This window comes from Homo sapiens, chromosome 11 (genome assembly GCF_000001405.40).
Source record: "Homo sapiens chromosome 11, GRCh38.p14 Primary Assembly".
Taxonomy (NCBI): domain Eukaryota; kingdom Metazoa; phylum Chordata; class Mammalia; order Primates; family Hominidae; genus Homo; species Homo sapiens.
In genome coordinates this window covers 29,504,726-29,528,875 of record NC_000011.10, presented here as the reverse complement: position 1 = coordinate 29,528,875, position 24,150 = coordinate 29,504,726, and the positions used below count along the sequence as shown (strand labels likewise).

The 24,150-nt window shown below is 39.0% G+C and overlaps 1 long non-coding RNA gene across 2 annotated transcripts in view, besides 1 other annotated feature; it reads left to right on the top strand.

Annotated features, from left to right (window-relative positions):
• The window catches only part of LINC02755 (long intergenic non-protein coding RNA 2755), a 258,473-nt gene that overhangs the window by 65,475 nt on the left and 168,848 nt on the right, over positions 1 to 24,150 (top strand). The window contains exon 3 of one of the 2 annotated variants that reach the window (NR_183753.1): positions 8,660 to 8,752. The exons of the other annotated variant lie outside the window; for it this stretch is intronic. This is a non-coding gene — a long non-coding RNA (long intergenic non-protein coding RNA 2755). The remainder of the gene's footprint in view (positions 1 to 8,659; positions 8,753 to 24,150) is intronic. 2 annotated transcript variants of the gene reach the window in all.
• Positions 10,010 to 10,079: an enhancer, noted in NCBI's record as "active region_4553". NCBI's record gives its function as "activates an Ori minimal core promoter by ATAC-STARR-seq in GM12878 lymphoblastoid cells {active_cell/tissue: GM12878}" and the evidence as "EXISTENCE:reporter gene assay evidence [ECO:0000049][PMID:35858748]".

Here is a 24,150-nt window from a genome sequence, read left to right as displayed (position 1 = left end):
CTTAGGAAAGAAAACAAAAAAACTGAAAAGAAAACCAGGAAAAATAACTCACCTCTAGTCCTAACACTCAAACACAAACACAATATACTGTGCAGTATTTTTGTTTTTTCTTTCTATGAAAAACTATTTTAACACAGTTTAAACCACATTGTATATAGTTTTATGTATATAATTGTATAACTATATATAATTTGTACATTATGTTTTACTCAATATTATATCATGAACATTATTCTATGGGATTATATAGTATTTCAAATGATAGGCCAAGTGAGATGTCTCATGTATGTAATCCTAGCACTTCAGGAGGCTGAGACAGGAGGATTGCTTGAATCCAGCTGTTCAAGCCAGCCTGGGAAACATAGCAAGGCCTTGTATCTACCAAAAAAATAAAAATAAAGTTAGCCAGGCTTCATGGCACATGCCTGTAGTCCCAGCTACAAGGAAGGTTGAGGTGGGAAGATTGCTTGAGCCCAGGAGTTCAAGATTTCAGTGAGCCATGATTGTACCACTGTACTCCAGCCTGAGTAACAGAGTGAGACTCTCTCAAAAAATAATATTAATAATCATTTTAATGTCTAAGTAGTATTCTACTTGGTGAAAAGATCATAGTTTGCTTAGCTAATCTCTTAGAATTGGACATTTTTACTATTTCCCATTTGGGACCATCATATAAAATTCTATAACAATCATTTTCAAAATAAAGCTTTTAGTTTCTTCACGTTAATTTTTAAAACTAGGTTCCCAAATGTGTAATTACTAGGTAAATATATACATATGTTCAAATTGCTTTTCAAATTGTTCTATTACTAGTAATGAAAAGAAAGTCTCATTGTCCACACTTTCACTAGTATTACAGAATACAAACACCCATACACCTACACATGCTGTTGTGGGAATCAGAGGACTGGAGAGACCAAATGGGTGAAATAAAAGGATTTATCGAGGGCACTCAGGCCCAGAAGATTCACATCCAAAAAACTGAGCCCTGAACAAAGACAGGGCTTGATTTTTATACATGCAACCAAGGGATTGGCCATCTAGTGGCATGAAATGTACAGGGCAGGCAAGCAGGCTTACAGAAACAGAACAAAGGTGTGAATCATACAGTGACAGATTGTGCAATTCGAGGAAAAACAGGAACTTATCAAGCTAAGGCAGGGTTTACAGCTGGTAAATGTCTTACTCAAGCATGTCTTGTGACCTTGTTATTTTACACAGAAGAGAAACAGGAATCTGTAAAACTTTGTGAAGTAACCTTGAGTTTCACTAAGAAAGGATTTACAAAAAGGGAGTGGGGAGCTGGGAGAGGAGAAAAACCTGTTTTCTCATCCTTGCCCATAACTGGGAGGAGAGGGGGCTCTGGAGCACATTCCTTGAGGGCTCTGGTTTTGCAGATAATGTTATTAAATCCTTTTCAGAGCTCGGCTGCCTATCTCTAGGTCTTGGAGTGAGTCAGCCTAGCAAGAGAAGACTTGTTCCTTTCTTTTACTTGTTTTTTCTTTTTACATTTTCTGCTTCATTCCCCCCTTTGATGCTTCTTATAAATGAAGTTTAATAGAAAGCATCATCATCTTTAAAATTTATCCTTTCATGAGGCGCTAGTTTCCTATTAAGCAGGGGTTGATATTTAGTTAGAACCATTAGTTGGGTAGTAGTTTGCCTGGTTACAAGAATCTCAATAGCTGACTGCATGTTCCTAACAAGGAGGGGCAAAAGACAAGGAAGTATGAGGCAGCCCCCTAGTATGGCCAGAACTATTCCTACTAAGGTTTTAAATCCTTCAAGAGATGAAAACCAGCCTCCAAAGAGTGAATCTGGAGACCATCATTTCCAAGTCTGCACTGGGACATGGGCTAATTTCTGGATTCTGGCAGAATCCAAAATTGTTTGACAACATTTCTGTTGTCATCAATCTCTAGACAGCAATTAGTTAGGTTGAACTTTCCACATACTTCTCCTTCTTGAGCTAGGAGGTAGTTGATGGCCAGTCTATTTTGGTAGATGGCATTTCTCATTTGTGTAGCTTGCCAGGCTAGCTGATTTAAGACCCTTGCAGCATCATTAGTAATTAGCTCAAGTACTGCCTGTAACCTTATGATGTGGTTGAGCATATATATAGGGGTGCAGTATCCCCATGTTCCATATTCTGCCCAGGTGGCTGGGCCATAGTATTGGATTATTCTTTCAGGGGGCAATTCATTGTCTTTCCACTTCCCTATGGTTATGCCGTCTCCTGTGGTTATGCCCCTCTTGCTTTTCCTTTTAGTTACATCATAGATGGGGTACCGTAAGACTTCCCCTTGCCTTAGCAGGATTAGAAAGAAAGAGGGCCTAATTGTTCCAAGTACACAGGCCCCTGACCATTTAGCTGGCAGTTGTCAATATGCCTGTGGCCCACAGTTCCAGTAGAGGCCAGAGGGTGCCTGCCAGGTATTGGAGCTTCAAGCTGGTACCAGGAGTGGTTTAAAGAAGGGAAACGGGAGAATGGGCCTGGGTGCGGTGATTTGGAGTCATTCTTTTTGCATCTCCATAAAGTTTTTCCTAGTATCTCATTGTAATATTGCTGTCCTAGGCAAGTTAATTCTCCTACTGGGTCTGTAAAGGCTTTTCCCCAGTGCACAATGCAGAATCTCTTGATAAGAGAGGTTTTTAAGAGCCAGGTGCTCAAGCTTGTGAGTGTTGGTTCGGGGGAGGGGATGGTCAGAGTAAAGTTACTTTGAGGCATTAGCTCCTTTTCCTCCCATGGTGACTGGTCCCCATGTTTGTTCCCCCACAGACGTAACATGAAGAGATGGGCAAGCTGCTGGTTATGCTTTCTGCCAGTTGGGTGAATAGTTTTTTGGCTATGGGAGGGGGTTCAGGCAATTTCTGGTTGACCTGCTTATAGAATGACTTGAAAACTCAGAATTGTTGGGTTGAACAGGCCCGAGCTTTCTTTATAATACATAGAAAATTATTTTTTAAGATAGTTTTTCCCCTTGGATTCTTGGTTAAATAGTAATGTCCTATTGGTGCTCCTATTCCTGTAGTCCATATTTGTAAATTTGGCTTCAGGATTTTGAAATTTACAAGATTGCAAGCATTTGTTTTACAGTTTAGGTCTGCTTGGATGTGGGTAAACATGACCTGCTTTTGTTTAGTGGCCAATGTTGCACAGTCCCAAGTGGAGCAAGCAGGGGTGTTCTTAATTTATACCACAGGTTGCTACAGGGCAATGAAGTCTTTAAATGTTGCCTGGCAGATATTAAAGTACAGATATAGTGACATACATAAGGCTAGTTATTCCCTGGGTCACAGATTGAGTAGGTGGTCTGATTGTGAGTACAGGTTCCTAGGTGGGTTCCAGTACACTCATAATGAGTATGGTACAATAGAGTTCTCGTTATAGCGCTCCCTGACCGTGTAGTATGAGTACATTGGGGGCATCCTTCAAATCCTTCCAAGAGTTCTCCTTTTAACATAGATAAGGGGATTAGTAAGAACAAGGTAAAGAGTGACATACTTATACCCAGCAGGGACAGAAAAGGCTTTCTCCTGGTGGAGGAGGCTGACTAAAGTGGCAGAACAATAGAAAAACAACTAGTATTACAAGGAAAACTATTAGACCTAAGATTTCTAACAACATGACTTTACTCCAGCTTCAGCTGTGCATAGGCTAGTCAGCTCCTGGGGTGACTAGAGCAGGGCAGTTGTCACCTCAAGCTTCAGCTGTGTGTAGATTGGTCAGCTTCCAGAAGGACCAGAGCAAGGCAGTTGCTAGCTCCATTGGCAACCTGGTCTCACCGTAGGATCAGCCGAGTGGGATGGTCTGGTTCCTGTTGGCTGGTCCACTAGTTCTGGGCTGCTGGTTTCAGCTGACTATGGTGGATCCAAGGTAAAATTCCTCCAACTTTAACAGCTGTGGGAGTGGACAAGATTACAGTATGGGGCCCATCCTATATGGGTCCCAAAGTGGTTGGATTCCATTTTTTAACCCAAACTGAATCCCTGGGTTTAAAGGGGTGTGTTGGGTCTGTCAGGCTTATGGGCATTCTTTCCCATACCCAGCCATGAATTTCTTGCATGGCTATTCCTAAAGCCTTCATTTGCCTTCTCAAGGATAATTTCCCTAGTTCACGGAGATCACAATTAATTTGACCTATGATTGGGGGTGGCTGGCCAAACAAGATCTCATAGAGTGCTTGACTCGGAGGTGCACCTGACTCGGAGAAGAACCATGGGAAGGACCTGATCCCATCTCAGATGGGTTTCTTGGCAATATTTTTTCAGTAGCTTTTGGAGTGTCTGGTTCATGCGTTCTACTTTTCTTGAGCTTTGTGGCTGGTAGGCTGTGTGTAATTTCCATTTTATTTTTAACAGTCATATTAGTTCTTGAACTATTTCAGCTACAAATACAGGCCCATTGTCTGACCCCAGAATCAGGGGCAGTCCAAATCTAGAGATAATGTCCCTTATTAGCACTTTTGTTACTTCTCGTGCTTTCTCTGTTCTGGTGGGGAAAGCCTCAACACATCCTGAAATGGTGAAGATTAGTACTAACATATACCAATAGCCCCCTGCTCGAGGCAGCTCAGTAAAGTCCATGACTAGGTTTTCACAGGGTGTGGCTCCCATTTCTTGAATTCCCGGGGGCTGAGTGGGCCCTTGCCATGGGTTATTCTGGACACAGATTAGACATTGTTCACAAACAGCTTGAGGGATGGTAGTGAGCCGTGGCATATAGAAATGATGTTCCAGTAGTGTTTCTAGTGCCGTTTTTCCTATATGAGTTCCTTGATGGAATTGCTTCACAAATCTAGGGGCCACTGTTTCAGGGATGGCTAGCCTCCTATTGGAGAATTTCCACCATCCTCCTTTAATGTAACTTCCAGTATCTTTGGCAAACCAGGCCCTTTCATTTGGAGAATAATTTGGGACCTCTAGAAGCGGAGGCTCTGGGAGGAGAGGTAAAGCTATGGCTTCCTCTTCACAATGTAGGGTAGCCATTGCTACCTCTCTGTCCACTTTTCTGTTTCCTTTGGCCTCTAGTGTTCCTGCTCTTTGGTGCCCCTTGCAAAGTATAACTGCCACTTTCTTTGGGGCCAATACTACATTTAAAAGCTGTAGAATTTTTTCTTTATATTTTATTTCTTTACCCTCAGCAGTTGTGAGTCCTCTTTATTTATATATAGCCCTATGAACATGCAACATGGCGAAGGCATATTTGGAATCTGTATAGACATTGACCTTTTTGTCTTTTGACACCAGAGAGCTCTTGTCAGGGCTATTAGCTCTGCTTTGTGGGCTGATGTTCCAGTAGACAGACTGAGCCTCTATCACTGAGTCTAATGTTACTACTGCATACCTGGCCTGTCAGACCCCTTCTAGTACAAAACTGCTTCCATCTGTAAAGTATTCTACATCTGGATCCCTGAGGGGTTGGTCTGTGAGATCCCTCTGGCTTGAGAATACTTCGTCTACTGCATCTACACAACAATGAAGCGGGGCTCCCGGTCCCAGTTCAATTGGGAGCAAGGTAGCTGGGTTTAGGGTATTTACTGTCTCTAGAGTTATGGGAGAATTCTCGCATAGGAGCTGTTGGTATTGAGTCATTCTCAGATTTGATAACCAATGGTGTCCTCTCTGATCCATTAAAATTATAACCAAGTATGGTACTGGATGGTCAGTTGCTGTCCCAGGGTTAGTTTGTCAGCTTTTTGTGCCAGTAGGGCTGTGGCAGCTAGTGGTTTAAGGCACAGAGGCCATCCTAGTGCCACGAGATCCAATTCCTTGGATAAATATTCCACCGGATGATACCATGATCCTATGACTTGAGTTAGGACCCCTATTGCCATTCTTTTTTGTTCATGGACATACAGAAAGAAAGGTTTAGTTAGATCAGGAAGTCCTAAGGCTGGGGCCTGGGTTAAGGCTTCTTTGATTTGTTTAAATGCCCTATCTTGGTCAGCCTCCCAGAGTAGGGGTTCCCTTCCCCCTCTTTTGTGGCTTCATATAAAGGCCTGGCCATCAGTGAGTAATTTGGGATCCAAATGTGGCAGAACCATGCTGTCCCCCAAAATTATCTTATTTGATGCTGGGTAGTTGGAGTTGGGAGTGCACAAACAGCTTAGTTTGGCTCACTGCCTAGCTATCATTCCCCTTGACTCACTTCGAAGCCTAAATACTGGACTCTTTTGGAACAGATTTGAGCTTCTTTCTGAACACCTTATATCTGGCTTTCCACAGGAGGTGGAGGAGGTCTTGGATTCCTTGGAGGCAGTCCTCTTGGGTTGGGTCTGCTGGAAGCAGGTCATCTATATATTCCAGCAAGGCACAATTGTCATTTGGCTAGGCCTTGAGGTCTGAAGCCAGTGCTTCTTCAAAGATTGTGAGAGAGTTTTTGAGTGCTTGTGGGAGTCTTGTCCAGGTGAACTGCAATTCGCTCCATTGAAATGCAAAGATGGGCTAATTGGTGCCAGACGAAGACAGAAGAATGCATCTTTCAGGTCTAGGCAAGCAAACCAGACAGCACTTGCTGAAATAAGTCCCGTTAAAGAATATGGATTAGGTACCACTGGGTGGATGGTCACTGTAGCCTCATTCACAGCACATAAGTCCTGCACCAGCCTCTATTCACCAGATGGTTTCTGTACCGGCAGGAGAGGAGTGTTCCAGGGTGACTGGCATTTGACTATGATTCCATGTTTGAAGAGTTGCTCTAAGTGTTTGCGAATGTCCCATATGACTTCTTGGAAAAACGGGTACTGGTGAAACTGAACTGGGGTGAAACTGAACTGAACTGGTGAAACTGCCCCTGGTTTCAACTCTACTACTCTATTACTCTACTACTACTGGTGCCTGATTTTTAGCCAGCCCAGGTGGGTTGTCTTCAGCCCATACTCCAGGAATTTTATTAAGTAGCCCATACAGTTCATTTATTCCTGGTTCTGGTGACTCTTTTGTGTATAGTCTCCATTTGTCAGTCTGCGGGATGGTAAGGATTATTACCATGGCCTTTGGGAGTGTCAGGTTTAAAGTCATAGCTACTTGTGGCCCAAAAGCAATCTGTGCTTACAGTTTTTGGAGTGGGTATTTTCCCAGCAGGGAAACTGGGCAATTTGGGAAGTATAGGAACTCATGTTGGACTTATCTTCCTATGACACACCTCCTTGGTTGACAAAACGGCCTTTTCTCTAGGACCCCTGTAGCCCCAACAATAGTTGTATGGTGTTTGCATAGTGGCCTTATGGGCTAGGTCACCACCAAATGTTCAGCCCCAGAGTCTACCATAAAGTCCACCAGTTGGCACCCCACTTCCACTGTGACCATGGGCTCCTGGGGGCCTATGGTGATGGAGCCTGGTCTGGCCTAGTCTTCATATCCTCCAGTCCCTTCCAGCATGATCAGGTTGGTATCCGGTTCCCTCAGGGTGTGGCAGCCCTTGGCTGGTGGCCTGTCTCACAGCCTTGGCTATCTTCTTCATTGTCCTCTGGATGCTCATTTTTCCTGTGTCCTCTCTTTTCACATTGTGCACATTGATTCCTATCTATCTAGCCTTGGTGGGCTTCCAGTCCTCTGCCCAGCCTGGCCCTTTCTGTGCCCACGTCTGCATCCCCTGGTGATGCCAGTTTCTCTTTCTGTGCCCACGTCTGCATCCCCTGGTGATGCCAGTTTCTCTTTCTATGAGGGCTGCCACAAGCAGATCAGCCTTTTTCCTAAGTCTCTGATTAGCTTCCTTTTTTGCCCCTGGTCATGGTTGACGTACACCTTGGTGGCTACTTCTATAAACTGAGTAGGATTCATGCCTGCAAAACCCTCTGGCTTTTGCAGCTTCAGCCTGATGTCTCCCTGGGCTTGTCCTACAAACACTCTATTTACCATGCACTGATTTTCAGTAGCCTCAAGGTCAAACAGAGTGTAAAGCCTGAATGCCTCACAGAGTCAGTTCCTTGAAGCACTTCTGAGATCTTTCCTAAATTGATTGGCTTATTTTCGCCTTCCCTTAGCCCTTGCAGAAGTGCTTCTTGGTACTTCTGCAGGTGCTGAAACTGGGTTGCATCATTTGGGTCCCAGTGAGGGTCTGCTTCTGGGAATAGGTCTTGAGCATATGCTTGGACATTAAGTGTGCCTTCCGGCATAGTGGCTTCTAGCCAGTGGAGGGCTGCCTGGGTCACTCTTCAGCACTCTTCAGTATTTAACAGCATTAGAAGGACTTGCTTGCAATCTGGCCAGGTTGGATTGTGTGTCAGGAAGATGGACTGCATTAGATCTATGAGGGCCTGTGTCTTCTCCGTGTAGGAGGGGGAGATCAGTGATCGAGAAAGGCTGATAAATGAAGGTTTGTTGCCCCCTTTGAATCTGGCCATGTTCATCATAATAGAGGGGTCCCTGTATTTCCTGGAGGGGTATCTGCAAAGCCCAAGTACGGCCAGACTGGAGACGGCTTGTCTGATCGTCCTGAGTTTCCTCCTTGACCCCCTGGGGTGGGGGCTCTGGTTCCTCCCTCTGGGGTGAAGCTTGGGGTGTGTCATTCTCTGAATCTGACTCCACGCTGGCCATTGGTCTCGTCAAATGGGGGATAATGGAGTACAGGGAGGAGGGATTTCTGTTTCCTCCGGTGGCTCCTGTAATGGTGGTTTTTCCTGCCCTTTAGGTGATTCCTCCTTTATTTCCACAGCTGCCGGTGAAGCTGACTTGACTTTCACTTTAGGCTCAGCTCGGGCTACGAGCATCTTGCAGTAAGACACCAGGCAGGGCTGGAATCATGCAGGTTAGTTTTGGACCACATTTAGCCACAAGTCAACGTAGGGAAACTTGTTTGGGTGCCCTGGCTGTCCTCCGACACTGGTTACTACCTGATGTACATGGCCAATTGTTCCTTTATATACTGTCCCTTCGGCTGGCCATCCGACTTCAAAAGAAGGCTATTTTATTTCACACAGAGTTTTTAACCTCTAGGGGGTCAACTGGGTTCCATAATCCCCCTTGTAACATTTTTAAAGTTCTTTAACATGAATTCTAATGGGGTGGGTTTTGATGACTTCCCTCCCATTTCTCCCAGTTACAGTGCAACACATTCTCTCTCTCTCTCTTTTGCTTCAGACGGATTAGACCACCCCCCTCGCAGGAGTTTTCAGGCACTGCTTAGCTTTGAAGTGTTTGTTAATCTCCCACAATTACTAAATTGTGGGGCACCTCCCCAAGCCATATGCAGATCACCGCTAGTCCCTGTTGGTCCCACAATTCACTTGGAGTGTACAGTCTATGCTAAGAGACCTGTGCCCCCCACACATCACTCCCCGCATTGAATCCTCCTGGAACTGCCTCTTTCATAAGCAGTCACACACTTCCCAGTTGCTTTCTAGACCAACTTTGCAAACCACTTTCACATCCTGGGTCGGGTGGGGTGTAAGTTTCCCCAACTTTGCGAGCCAGTCTCGCATCCTGTGTCGAGCTACTAGTTACACCCTGGGAAGTGATCAGGCTCCCCTTCCATCCTTATGGGATGGGTCCTGCCTTGGGCCCCAAATCTTACCATGGTCCTGAAGCACACTGTCCCAAGAATCGTCCTACAGCCCCTTAGATTTCGTTGCACTATCAGGGAAGGGCACTGAGTTGCAGGACAGCCAATCTCCTCTCTGCGTTGAAGTTCTTCTGATGGCACCAGGGGTCATGGGTCTCCCCTTGCCTGGGGTTCAAGTCCCACAGGCAAAGGAGACAGTAAACCTGTCATCTCCAATCCCACAGGAGCCCCCAGAAAAATACTGCAGGAATCAGAGGACTGGAGAGACCAAACAGGTGAAATAGGGTGATTTATTGAGTGCACTCAGGCCCAGCAGATTCACATTGAAAAAGCTGAGCCCTGAACAAAGACAGGGCTTGACTTTTATACATGCAACCAAGGGGGTAGGCCATCTAGTGGCGCAAAACTTACAGGGCAGGCAAACGGGCTTACAGAAGCAGAACAAAGGCAGTTAATCATACTGTGACAGGTTTTGCAACTTGAGGAAAAACAGGAACTTATCAAGCTAAGGCAGGGTTTACAGCTGGTACCTGTCTTACTCAAGCATGTCTTGTGACCTTTTTATGTTACACAGAAGAGAAACGGGAATCTGTAAAACTTTGTGAAGGAACCTTGAGTTTCACTAAGGAAGGATTTACAAAAAGGAGGGGAGCTGGGAGAGGAGAAAAACCTGTTTTTTTGCTCCTAACTGGGAGGAGAGGGGGCTCTAGAGCACATTCCTTGAGGGCTCTGGTTTTGCAGATAATGTTATTAAATCCTTTTCAGAGCTCTGCTGCCTATCGTAGGTCTTGGAGTGAGTCAGCCTAGCAAGAGAAGGCTTGTTCCTCCCTTTAACTTGTTCTTTCTTTTTACATTTTCTGCTCCAATGCAAAACACACAAATTTGATAGGCAAAACCATTTTGCTTTACTCTGTAATACTACTCCCTTTGGACTCAGGCAACCTTGTATAGGTTGTATGAGGGCCTGGTTATACTTACGGGACCACTCTGACATTCTTCAAGACTTACCTCTCTCCAAGAGACAAGGATTTCACAGGGCCAAGTGGAATTTCCACACCAAATCCATGTTACCCCTTCTCGACCATGCTCTGAGTATATTGCACTCTGAAATATCATGCTCAAATAAACGTAAACCCATTTCCAGAGACCCTAGGGGCCCCCATCGCAGGCTAGTACTCCTAAGGACTAACTGCCCATGGAATGGACAATAGGCAGCTCTTTGTGGAGACAGTGACATGAGAAGACAATGGTCATGTGGTCTCAGATGTATACACACATCTACTGTGGCTACCCACTGGAAGAAGAAAAAGCAAATCAAATGAGTTGGTTGTGATTGCCATTCTCCATGCCATTATGATCCAGAACAAAACAGTGAGGAATATGAGAATTCTAAACTCAAACTTGGCCTTACAGACCCATGTGAAGATGTATGTATCAAAGTAGAAAGACAAAACACATTATTCACAGTTTATTGCTTAGTTTATAACTCTGAAATATTTAGAGACATTATATAGATCTCCATTTGTGTTCTTGCCCTGGGCCCTACCGATCACAGAGGCCTGACTGCTTTTATAGATTAAATAGATGATATATTAGGGCTGCCTATTTTCCCAAACTTACTAACTTCTATAAAATAAATAGAGAAAGCCTAGGTGAACACACAAATAAATTCTACCAAATCTTTAACAATTTGATAAAGACAGTACAAAAAGAAAATTACAGAAAAACATCACTTATAAGATGATTAATCTTCATAGATGCATGAGAAAAACAAAATAAAACAAAAAACTTTGACATATTCTACACTCCTTGCTGATTTCAAAACAAGAAAACTACAAGAATGAATTGATGGATACTTCCTTAGCCTGATAAAATGCATTAACCTCATTCATAAAGCCAGCATCTTAAGATACTAAGAAATGGGGAAGCCCTAGCAACATTTTCACTAAGATCAGGACAAAAATGTACCACCATATCTGCTACAATTTAATATTGGATTAATAGCCAATGCAGCTATATAAAAGAAATCAATAACCATTTTCAGATGACATGGAAGTGTTCTTAAGAAACCTTAGGGAAGCAATAATAAAACTAACATACTCAAACAGTAAGAGTTTAATAAGGTAGCTGACATAACGTAAAGAAATCTATAACCTTAATAAAATGATAACCAGTTAGGGGATTTAATGGTAAAGAAAATCATACACACGATAGAAATAAAAAAGAAAAATTTTACAAATAAACTTAACAAGGAATATATAAAACCCATATGAAAAATATTTCTGCTTTCCTTAAATTATAAATTCACTAAATATCAGTAACTATATCACAAACTTTCTAGTTACTAGGGCTTATATGGCAAAATAACAAGAACAAATAATTAGGAAAAAATTGAAAAAGAAAGCAGTTAGGGACACTAGACTTACCAGATAGCACAATCTAGTAAACCAATGTGGTATTAGAACAAGAATAGTCAGACACACCAGTGGAATAGAATAAAAGTCCAGAAATAGTCCTAGGTACACAGGAATATAGGTGGCATCTTAAATAACTAGGGAAATATAAACATTTTCTAAACAGTTCTGAAGAAATGGGATTACTATATCAACAGAATAAAATTTGGTTTACACTTCACATTAAACACAAAAATAAACTCCAAGTAGATCAGGGAGCTAAATGTAAAAATGAAACCATGAAAGTAATAAAGTAATAGCAGAAACCTGAGTTAATTTCTTTATAAACTTGGTGTAGAAAAGAATATTGATTTTGAGTCAAAATGGAGATGAACTAAATGCAACTTCATAAGATTAAAACAACGAAAACCTTTGCATGGCAAAAAATTATAAGCAAAGACAAAAGAGAAATAACAAACCAGGAGAAAATATTTATAATATATATCACACATAAAGGGCTAATATTTCATACGTATTGGTCCATCATAAATCAATATATGAGATATTAGTCCTATTAATTTATAATTAATATGCAAATGGTACTCTTTATCCATAATATATACTGCACATATTATATACGATGTATAACATATTATTTCTAATATATATTTGAAAAATATATACTTGCAAATATATATACATATATGTGTAATATGTATAAATGTCTATTACACATCTATAAGTCTATATGATATACATTAATATGCATATAGAGTTGTATATGTAGCTGTATTTATATACATATGTGTATATTAATATAAATATTAATATGTAAGTAATGTATATGTAGACATAAATTTTTTAACATTTGGGGAAAATTTTTATTATTTTTCATATAGTTATTCAGTTTCTTCAGGATTATTTATAAATGAATTCTTTTAAATTTAGGGGAAAAACTCAAATATTAAATAATAATGGGCCAAAGAAATGAACAATTTACATAAAAAGTATTAAAGATGTCAAAAAGATGTTCAACTTTATTTATAATCAGAGAAATGTGGTTTGAAATTACACTGGAATATCATCTTGAAATTCTCAAACTGGAAATATCAAAGCTTGACAACCTCTTCTGTTGGCAAAGCTGTAGGGAAACAGACATTCCCACAAGTGGCAGGTGGGAATACAAATTGGTACACCACTTACGGAGGAAAATTTGGCAAATCTGTCAAAACTACGTACACGTTCAACCCAGTATTCAATTTCTTGTCATTTACCCTATAGTACACATTCAACAATACGAAATAGATCTATTCAAGGTTTTTGAATCATTGTTTGGAATTACAAAATATCAGAAGTAACCAAATGCTCATGTACGAAAGTTCGGTTGTGGCCTACCCAGACAATAGATTATCATGTGGCTTCAACAAGTAATGAAAAATGACACTATGTGATTCTAGGATATATTGTTGAGTGAAAAAAAGTGCAAAGGCATATAAGCATGTGTTTAATATTACCTATTGTGCAAGAGAGAGAAAATAAGAAAAAAAACAGGAAAACATCACCATGGACACTCACATGAAGGATAAACCAGAAACAAATGTTTGTGTTTATCTCTTGGGAGAGTTTGAAAGTGAAGCGGAGGGATTTTGGTGCAGGCCTGATACTTTTTTGTTATCTTTTTGTATAATTCTTACTTTGGAAACATGTTAATGATTTGCATACTTAAACGTAAATAATGGATCCACAAAGTTGTTGGGGGAGTACTTGAAATAGAAGCAGAAACTCATAAGCCTAATTGTGTTTCAAATAAATAAAGTCATAACACTTGAGTGTGACAGCTAATTAAAAAAATAATTTTTGAACATTTTTACTATATATTCTTAGACTAAAGCTTTAAAGAACTGTAAACAAATATTGAATTCTAGTTGGTAGATTTGTTTGTAGCTGTGGTATGGGTTGATATTTCTGAAACAACTTTTTGTGTATTCTAGGAATGAACAAGTAAGTAATTTTAAAAAGTTAAGCATAAGGAGAGAAGCCTCAAATTAAGCATGTGGTATTGGATTCAGACTAAAGGTATCAGTACAGATTCACGGTTTTTCAGATAGATTAGATAGACACGTATGTTTTTTCATGTGTGCATGTTTCTGTATTACATATATTTTCTAGCTATGTCTCCCCAGACAGGTCTTAGAAACTATGCCACCTAAGTAGCAATAACTACACCTAGCATCCAGGTCAGGGTTCTTAATTATAAGCACATAAATGGCAAACAAACAAAAAACACCTCTCTTTTTTATAGTAAAATGCTATTCTTATAGAAGAAACAGTCAAGTTAGAAAATTAAAATTTGGCAACCATCACGCTAATTTATTTAAGCAAAATCATCAAACTGATGGGTAAAATTTAATGAGAAACAAGATATTTACATAATCTCAAAGTATCTTCTCAAAAGTTAATTATCAATAACAAGAGAAAAATCTAGTGACTATAGTGGAGATATTGTAGACAGCACTTTAGCCAACAGATCAAATTTAACATCACTATTAATGGAACAAAATAATACTGTGGACCTTCAGATATGATACACTAAGAAAGTCACTTCATCACCATTGGAATATTCCTTCTGAAAATGAGTCACCTAAATCTTCTTACAGGAAAACATCAGTCAAGCCCAAACCAAAAAACACTTAAAAACAAAAGACAAAAACAAAAAAACCTGTTCTTTACTTTTCAAAAATCAAATTTCATGGAAGACAAAGATCTGACAAATCTATTCTGGACTGGATCCTGAAATACAATGAAGGACACTGATTCTGAAGATTAGAGAAATTGGAAAAAGATCTGTAGATTTGATAATAGATTGTGCTACTCTTGGTTACAATTATTTTGATGACTGTACTGTGCTTATATAAGACAATATGTTTGTTCTTAGGAAATTTACTCTGAAGTATTTAGCAGGGAAGTGGCATTCTGACTGCCCCATTTTGTGAATTTATTCAGAAAAAATTACACATAAACACACACAAAATGAGGGCAAATGTGACAAAATGTTAATACCTGCAGAATCTGGATGACAGTATTATACGGTAGTTCTTTATGTTATTCTTACAGCTTTTCTGTAATATTGAAATTATTTGAAAGTAAAAATTATAATAACAACAGAAGAACAAATTACAAGGATATTGATATTCCAGCAAATAACATTCTTCTTTTATTTTGGATTCTTGCAAGTTGGGTTTTTGCCTCACTGAGCATCTGTAAATACTGGAACATGGTACCCAGAAGTGAAAGGGGAAAAATACCAATGTCTGGTGTGACAAAAAGGGTGAGATTGTTTCTCAGCCCCCTTAATGACTGCCTTTCTTCAGATACTATTTATATGGGACAGCAAGAGCAAGAATATACTCTTAGCTAAGGGCCTATTAAAAGTGGGCTGAATCTAAGAATTGATATCTCATCACTCTACCACACCATGTTGGCCCATAGGTAATGGCAGAGTTGCAAGGTATGTCACCTGAGGTAGAATACAGTGTTATCCAATCATCTCAAATGACCTTCATTTGTATGCTGTCTTTTGGGAAGCACTCATTTATAATTATAAAGTTCAAATTGGGAAAGGTTGAGTCAAGGCTTTCTTTCTGAAATCTCAGTACACCAACTTATTCAGAGGAATAAGTGTCTGGGGCCTGTCTGTTCTTGGGGAAGCACCAGAATTATCACAGTTCTAATTAAAAAGAAATCATCCAAATAGAATCTATCAGGGCCTTGCTCTGGACTGAGCCTGTGATCCTAAAGAAGGACAAAATTAATAACTTTACCACTTGAAAAATAAAAACCATAAAGGTGTTCCCATCACTCTGGCCACAGGCAGTGTATTTCAAAATGAAGACAAAGCTATACCCTAAAATAAGTGTAAAGAATTTAGAGCTATGATTTTTAATAATTATCATCTCAAAACTTTAAATAATATCAAATATTAAATTTCTTTTCTTTATATTTTGCCTATGCTTGTATTGGCCTAAACTTACGGTTAGCCACATACCAGCCTGGGGAAAATGGAGCTTCCAGGCAAAAGATCCTCACCATAGCGTCTGAGGAAGGAAACAACGGTTCTCATTTTTCTAAGATGTATTAGAATCATCTGCAGTGCTGTTCCAATTTACTCATTCTCTCTGAGATCCTTATTCACACACATCAAAATGAGTACACCTGATCTTTATTAAGAAAGACTACCACTTTTGAGGCGCCGTTACCAATGGGTTTGTGTGTGATTTCTCAGCTGTGTAAATGGTGAGAGGTGAGATGGAAAGAGGTTAAGGTTTATTGTTCTAAAAATGCCTTTTTAATGCCAAGGAGAGTGTAGATGTGTATTCATGTTTGGTAGATTTTCTTATAGATCTCATGATATTTCTTGTAAGATTATCTCATGATATTTCTTGTAAGAGTCCCTCATGAGATGTCCAGTTAAGCCAGAAAATACAGTAAAATGAAGGTGATACCTGAGTACTTAGAATAAAAGAGGATAACGCTGAAGACACCTTTGCAAAAATCATAACTGAGAAAATTATAAGAGTCAAACAGTTCTGACCTTACCGACTCTGTCTTACTTCTTACCTCTAAGCTGTCCTTGTTCATTCCTGGGTGTAGGACTTCGGCAGGAACTTAGTTAATAGTTTAATTTTTGAAACAAAGATGATACCAGCCATTTCCCAAAACAAACCCCCTTCTTGCCTGAGGACCAGACTGCCTTTGTAGGATTAACAAATTAGCCACAATGGTTTAGGAGTCATACATCTAGAGGCCACCAGATTCTAAACTTTCCCAACTGTTCGTAGGGATAATATCACCGTTGTAAAACCTAAGATTGGTGCTCCAGATATTTGTCAAATCCTGCACTTGATGGAGCAGCTGGCGCCAACCAGGTCAATAAACTGGCTCGTCTTGTGACCTCCACTCAGAAACTGAATCAGCAGAAGACAGCTTCCACTCCCTATGATTTCATCTATGACCCAACCAATCAACACTACACGCCCCACTTCCTGGACCCTTCCCACTGAATTATCCTTTAAAAACTCTAGTCTCTGAATTTTCAGGAGATTGATTTGCTTAATAACTCTGTCTCCTGCATGGTGCAGCTGGCCTCACATCAATTAAACTCTTTCTTTATGGCAATGCTGTGGTCTTTGTTTGTGCAGAGGGCAGGAAGAACCCATCAGTTGTTTACAAGGCTTCTTTAAGATTTAATATATATGGAAACAACAATAAAAAAGCATACTTAGGCTTTGATAATAAAAATCCCTCTGATTTAAATTCTTTCTGACCCATTGAGAGCCTTCTCCTGTAATGTTGCTTTGCCAGGCTTGCACTTGACCTTTGATCTCCAGTAACAGAGGCTAACTCCCTGTTCCATCCATGCTTATCCTGACTTTTAAACTTGACTTTTAAACTTTTGAGAATTGGAAAGTAAATGACTTTATACTTACCATGTTATAGTTCATTATTTGTGTTTCTGAGTAAGTATTATTTAACATGAAGTAAAAATAATACATGATGATTTTCTCTAAACTTCCATGCTTTTTCCTGTCAATGTTAAATAAAAAATTCCATGAATTTCCTCTTTAAGGAAATAAATTTTTAATGATTACTCCAGTTGTGTGATCATAGTCAACAATTAAAAGAATTTCATTGACTATGATTATAGGCACTGAGTTTCTTTCTTAAATACTTCAAGTGATTCACTAACCTGCACTCTCTTGTGAGTTAAATCCAATTTGAGCCAGATTTTTTTAAAAAGTGAGAAAGAGACTGTGGATCTTAGTGCCTGTTCTAGTGTCAGTTTACAGATATGAGTCTGTGTGTTGGACAATCTTCTAAGAAAAAAAATAAAATGTTTTAACATAAAACATCAGAAAAATCAATGTAGCACATTGTGTTTCGTCTTTCATGTTGTGAAACTGTCTTCACCTCTAAATCCTTTAGCAGAAAATTACCTTTTCCAAAACAAAGGAAATGTAGTGTCATCTATAACCACAGTCCTTTTCATTGGGCTAATAACAACTTTTAGATTACTAGAAAAAGACTCTGCTATTGTTTAAATAGGTCAAGTGAGTACTAATAATTCTTAATAGTATGTGACAAAGCTTGCTTTAGACACGAAAAAGAAAAGAGTTTTTCTGCAATTTGACTTGTAGAATGTAAGGTAAGTGTAAAGATCCCCTAGAACTATTGCCATGACATCATTCTCATTCCTGGGTCCCTTCGACTTTTAACAAGCAACACTGGCAGCAATTTTGAATCAGAAGCATTGAAATTATGATACACTGATCACTTACGGCTGTAACCTTACTTTGCTTACAGCAGCTCTGTACATGTTGCTGAGTAATTATTAAAGCTGTTATTTTTGGTTCTCTTTTTCCATCATGAGTTTCACCTCACAGTGGAACTACTGTCAAAATGTCATAAAGATCTTCCTTTCTTTTTTTTTTTTTTTGGATACTGAGTTTCACTCTTGCTGTCCAGGCTGGAGCACAATGGTGAGATCTCGGCTCACTGCAACCTCCTCCTCCTGGGTTCAAGCCACTCTCCTGCCTCAGCCTCCTGAGTTGCTGGGATTACAGGGGTCCGTCACCATGCCCAGCTAATGTTTGTATTTTTAGTAGAGACGGGGTTTCACCATGTTGGCCAGGCTGGTCTCAAATTCCTGACTTCAAGTGATCTACCCGTCTCCGCCTCCCAAAGTGCTGGGACTATAGGCATGGGGATCTTCCTTTCTTTACAGCAAAGTTTTATGTTTCTCTGCTTCCCTGGCATATATAAGGATTTTCTTCTGAAGACAGACATGAAATAAAAAGAAAAGAAAAAAGAAAAGTGAGAGACATAAGAAGGAAGGAAAGGGAAGTGGAGAGGAGGGGAGAAGGGAAGGGGAGGGAAAGGAAAATTGGGTAAACACAGAAGATGAATAGAATTTGGTTCTAAGTTCATTCTGAATTTTGTCATTCCAAAATAGCCTCATAAATATTTGCAAATGAAAACTTAGTCCTATTCTGGAGAAGTTGTAGGACTTCATTCATTTAAAAAATAATCGTAAAATTAATAGTAATAAAACTTTACATTTACCTGGTTTTACATTTACATTTATTAGTTCATTGACACAACAAGGATTCCCAGTTAGAAATTTGTAATAAATTGTCAAATGGTTTTTCATCTTTTATATATTTTCAATCTAATAGATTTCAGGAGATGGTCTTTTATAACAAATATCTACAAATTTAGATAGCATACCAATGAAATGTTGCAATAGCATGGTTTCGTGGATAAATTGCATCTATACATAATGTTATTTATCCAAAAATGTTTGGAGAAAATCCAGGCCAGCGATTCACTGACCCCAGATTCCTTCTTCATTTGCCTGTATAACTGTATTCGTGCAATTCATTCTCATAGGACACCCTGTCTCCCTACCACCATCTCACATATCTTTACTTGAAGATACGTGAGATGATATATGTAAAGAATTTAGCACAATACCATAGAAAATAAAGATAGAAATAATAGAACGTAGACAGAGAAATAACAATGTTACCTTCCTAATGAGGACCACCATTTCCCACCATATGATGTTTAAAATTTCTTTTACAATAAAAGCCCACTTTGTAACATTATTAGCAAGTAGTGTTAATTAAATAATTTGTTGCTTTCTTTCAAGCCAGTCTGTAATAAACCTGGTATCCCTACAAATTTTCCATTGCCTTCCTCATCCTTCAAGGCTTAGATCAAATTCTACCTTTTCAGATTCCATAAAAGTTAATCTTACTGTCTAAATTCACAGTGTTACAATGGCTCTATTGCCTGAGCCATCCTCTTTCTCTTCAGTATTAAAATCACAAGCTCTGAAATCAAAGTTCGAGTCTAAGATGCTCTAAGGTTTGAGTTGAAGGTTTGAGTCTAAGATTTTCCACACATTGCTATGTGATGTCAGGCTTTTAAACCCTTTGAACTTCCATTTCCTCTTCTGTAAATGGTGGTAGTAATATTTATTTGAAGATATGTGAGATGATGTATGTAAATTATTTAGCACAGTACCATAGAAAATAAAGATATAAATAATAGAACATAGAGAAATAACAATGTTACCCTTATCATCACCATGACTAATAGTCTGGTTTTACTAAGCTGGAATGCCATATATGGGCACATATTATAATATTTAAAGGAAGACCCCAAGCTGTCCATCTTCTTTGCATGAGATTGTCTTTGTTTCTCAGTACATATCCAACCTCAGCTACACAGTTTTCACAGAATACACATAGCTACTTTAACCAAGACTTTCCAATATCACCACAATATCTGCCCCGAAAGCATCCTTTCCTGGTATTAGAGAGTAGCTTCAGTTCCTCCCTTTCTTCCTAATAAGGACCACCATTTCCCACCACACAATGTTTAAAATTTCTTTTACAATAAAAGCCCACTTTGAACACTATTAACAAGTGGTGTTAATTAAATAATTTTAATTTGTTGCTTTCTTTCAAGCCAGTCTGAAATAAACCTGGTATCCCTACAAATCTTCCATTGCCTTGCTCATAATGGTTAGTATAATAAATATTTTGCTTTCATGACCATTGGCCCAACTAACAAGTCTTCAGTTTTACTTTGTCTCTTCTAGTACCTTCTCTTGGATGTAATTGTTAACAAGCAGTGAAATGACCAAAGATGAGATTCAGAAATGTGAGGCCAGTGGCGTGGATAAGCCATATTACAGGAGAGAAATCCCTGAGTAATTCACAACTGGGCTTGTTTCCAAAAAAAAATTGAGCCTCTATTTTATTTCTTGACTCTCCATTAGGATGGATTTCTACTTCAGGAAAAATAATTCAAATTTTAAGAATAAAGTTATAGCACATTTTTTCTTCGGACCCAATATTAGACCTAAGGGATAAATTCTTTGTTCCACTGTGAACAACACAGCACCATCCACACTCACATATCATTGATTGTGGACTGTACACTTTGCTAGTCTGATGTCAGCAGTCAGAGATGGAGGCCTAATTGGAAAAAAAAAAAAACACGAAAAATAAGAAGCATCTGATAATTTTTATGGGATTAAATTGTCATTCAGTTGCTACCAAAATAAATAAAAATAATATTTTTAAAAAAACTACCTACTGAGATTTTAGTTAAAAAGAAAGACAGAGAAAGAGTTAAAATGGCAGTCTGCTATTTTTTCCTATAAAGTTATAAGGCTTAATTCAAAAATTTTCTGAAATTTATAGTGCCAGAGGCTAAGCTAAAAATAATTTCCCCTCATTAGATCTTGCAGTTTAACCTCTGAAGTGGAAGGTCTGTGACAGATACATCAAGACTCCAACTCACAAAAGCACCATTCAAAAAGGAAAAGAATAAAGAGGAGCTGTTGCTATTAAATGACCCATAGAGAATCAAAGAGACAAAGAAGACTATTTCTGTAGCTTTCTGGGACTAAGCATAGTGTTGCTGGGCCATTCCAGGTGGATCACTCCTGTCAGCTTCAAATGTATCATGTACTAAATGAGCATGAAATTTTATATGGAAGCAAAGCTTTGGAAGCAAACCTTACTAGATAATGACAGAAATCTTGGGGGAGAAAAGAAACATAGGATTTGCTTAATAACCCTAGTGAAAATTAATAATCATTAATTGTCTCCTTTGCCTATCACTGAACAAAGCTTCTGTATAATTTCTGTAGAATAGAGAAAAACAATGCCACAAATACTTTACTCCAAGCTACTCCTGAAATTCTGGAACTAAGGAGGAGGGGTGGGCTTAATTCCTGAAATAAAGACTTCTAAATTTCAGTATCATTTTTATCTTTTTTTTTTTAGTTTCATGATCCCAGAAGGTAAAATGCTTATTACATTGTTCTGGATTCTCCACTCATACTGAAGAACAGATCCTAATATTTTGTGTTATATTCTTAGTCATATTTGTGATCATATCATTAATAAGAGAAGAAGAGAAGAGAACCCAGGTATTAGTTAGCATTCAATTAGGTAAGCAGAGCTACTATCGGTAATATGGAATAAGGGAATATAACAGGAATTAGATCATCCACAACTGTGGAGGCCAGTGAAAAAGTCTATGGAAATTGCCTCTCTGTCTGGTAGGAGCTTGAAATGCCATAAATCTGCAGAGCCAGTAGTTTGCAAGAAAACCTGGACATAAAGTTGAAAAGAGTGAGGACAAACTATAATCCATAAGGACAAATTGCAAACAGCACTGTCTTTTAATGCCTACAACCTTGTTAATCTGAGCAATCTGCAAAAGAAGGTGGCACCCTTACACCTAGCTTAGGACTCAAATGGAAAGACAGACTTGGTGAAAGCTGAAGGAGCTATGGATCCAAATGCTTCCCAACACCAACAAAATGAGCCAGTAGATTAATAAAGCTATGTGTGCTCTACAACAGCCCCTAGCCCTATATCTATGTTCAGAGCTAAATTGCTGCTTCACTTTTGCCTCCCAAATCTCACGCAAACTTCTTTTGGAGCCAACCCTAAGAGAACCATCCAGGGAAGAAATTATTGATATTGACATAGCTCAAAAGCTACCACAACACATATTTTTTCAATATCACATTTTCTAGGCTCTGCACCAATTTCTATTCCATTTATCCTTTATATTAAAACAAATATCTGAGAAATTATTTTACCTTTGAGAAAAGTAAGGTTCAGAGAGTCCTACTAATTTTTAGAAAACTTCCTGAAACTGGCAGAAATGAGATTCAATTTAAGACCAAGTATTTTGACTTTAGATTGTAATTAATCTTTAAATTTTCACTTATTAACATTAGACTATCCCCATCTGAATACTTTTACACAATGAATCAGTAGCACATGGCATATCCATTCTGGGTTAAGAGAGTTCACTAAATGAACTATTTAGAAAGATATGTGGGTAGGGATTAGGGAAACCGGCAAAGGACGGTACGTTTCCCATACTGGCAATAGTAAGACATCATTACAAACTCTAAATCTGAAGACAGAAGGAAAGGACGGCAGTTACTGTTACCCAAAGGGGATAGCTATATGAAAAGGGCTACTGTATAGGAACTGAAGCTTTTGGTAAAAGGAACAGCCCATATTGCCAAGAAGGCAACAGAGGTAATAAATACCCCAACCTTACTCTCCTTCAGCCTCCTAGTACTTTTGCTCTATACTCATGACTTCTCTTCACACAAGCTAACCAGAAACCAATGAACTAAGGAGTCTTTATATGCAATCTATAGAAGTCAGTATCCTGGGGACAGAGGAGGATGAAGAAGACCAGGGTGGCCAATAAAAAATAGCTAGCATGGATAAATTATTCCAAGAGTAAAGCATTAATAAAGATTTTAGAGAAACATTTTGTTTTACACAGACATAAACCAATAGCACATTTTCCTGGGTAATAACTAAACTTTCTTAATTACTATCTAACAAATCATCTCTATGCTGTTCCTCATGGACCATTTTTCAAATTCTGGTTTTATGATGAGCTGGTAAAGAGAGCCAAGGTAAGATCAAACTTCTGCTAGAGTTTCAGCTTCTGGTGGGAATGTTTCGGCAAAATTGGTGGGATGGTGGCTGGCAGGGGAACAATCCCTTGGCCCATGAGTAGATCATCAAAGCATTTGTTTCTTTAATAAAACATCAAAGGCTACTGCATGCTGTAGGGTATTTGTGAGACTGAAATTAAGGTGAACTTCAAGTGCTTCACAGCAGAAAATAAGAAAGGAGTTATTTTGTGAATCTTTTGAATTCTTCCTGGTAAGAATTTCCCCCTTATTTTCTAAATATTCATTTATGGGTTTTTCTACAATGCAGAAAGATATATTTTAAGGTCTGAAGTTGAGATTTTCTTTTCTGTTACTTGGAAAAGATTTGCTGGATGTTGAATCAGAATCTCAGCAGTACCTGCCCAATGTCTGTGGTAAGTCAGCCTCACAGGTAGTAAGAGGAGGAAGATACAGCATCTTTCTACTTCCTGTTAAAATTGGAGCCTAGGCTCTCATCCATCATGGAGTTGATTGAAAGGAAGAGGACAGTTTAACAAGGATGGAAACTGTTGCTATGTTAACAGCTTCCTTAGGCTCCAGTTCCAGCTTAAGACAGTGTCTATGCCAGGTATTAACACAACTACGCAACCCAAATTCATGGTATATAATGGAAGGAGAATGAAGAAACTGAACCTTCTAGGTTTTGGTCCAGAATGTATTATTTATGCAACTCTGAGAAA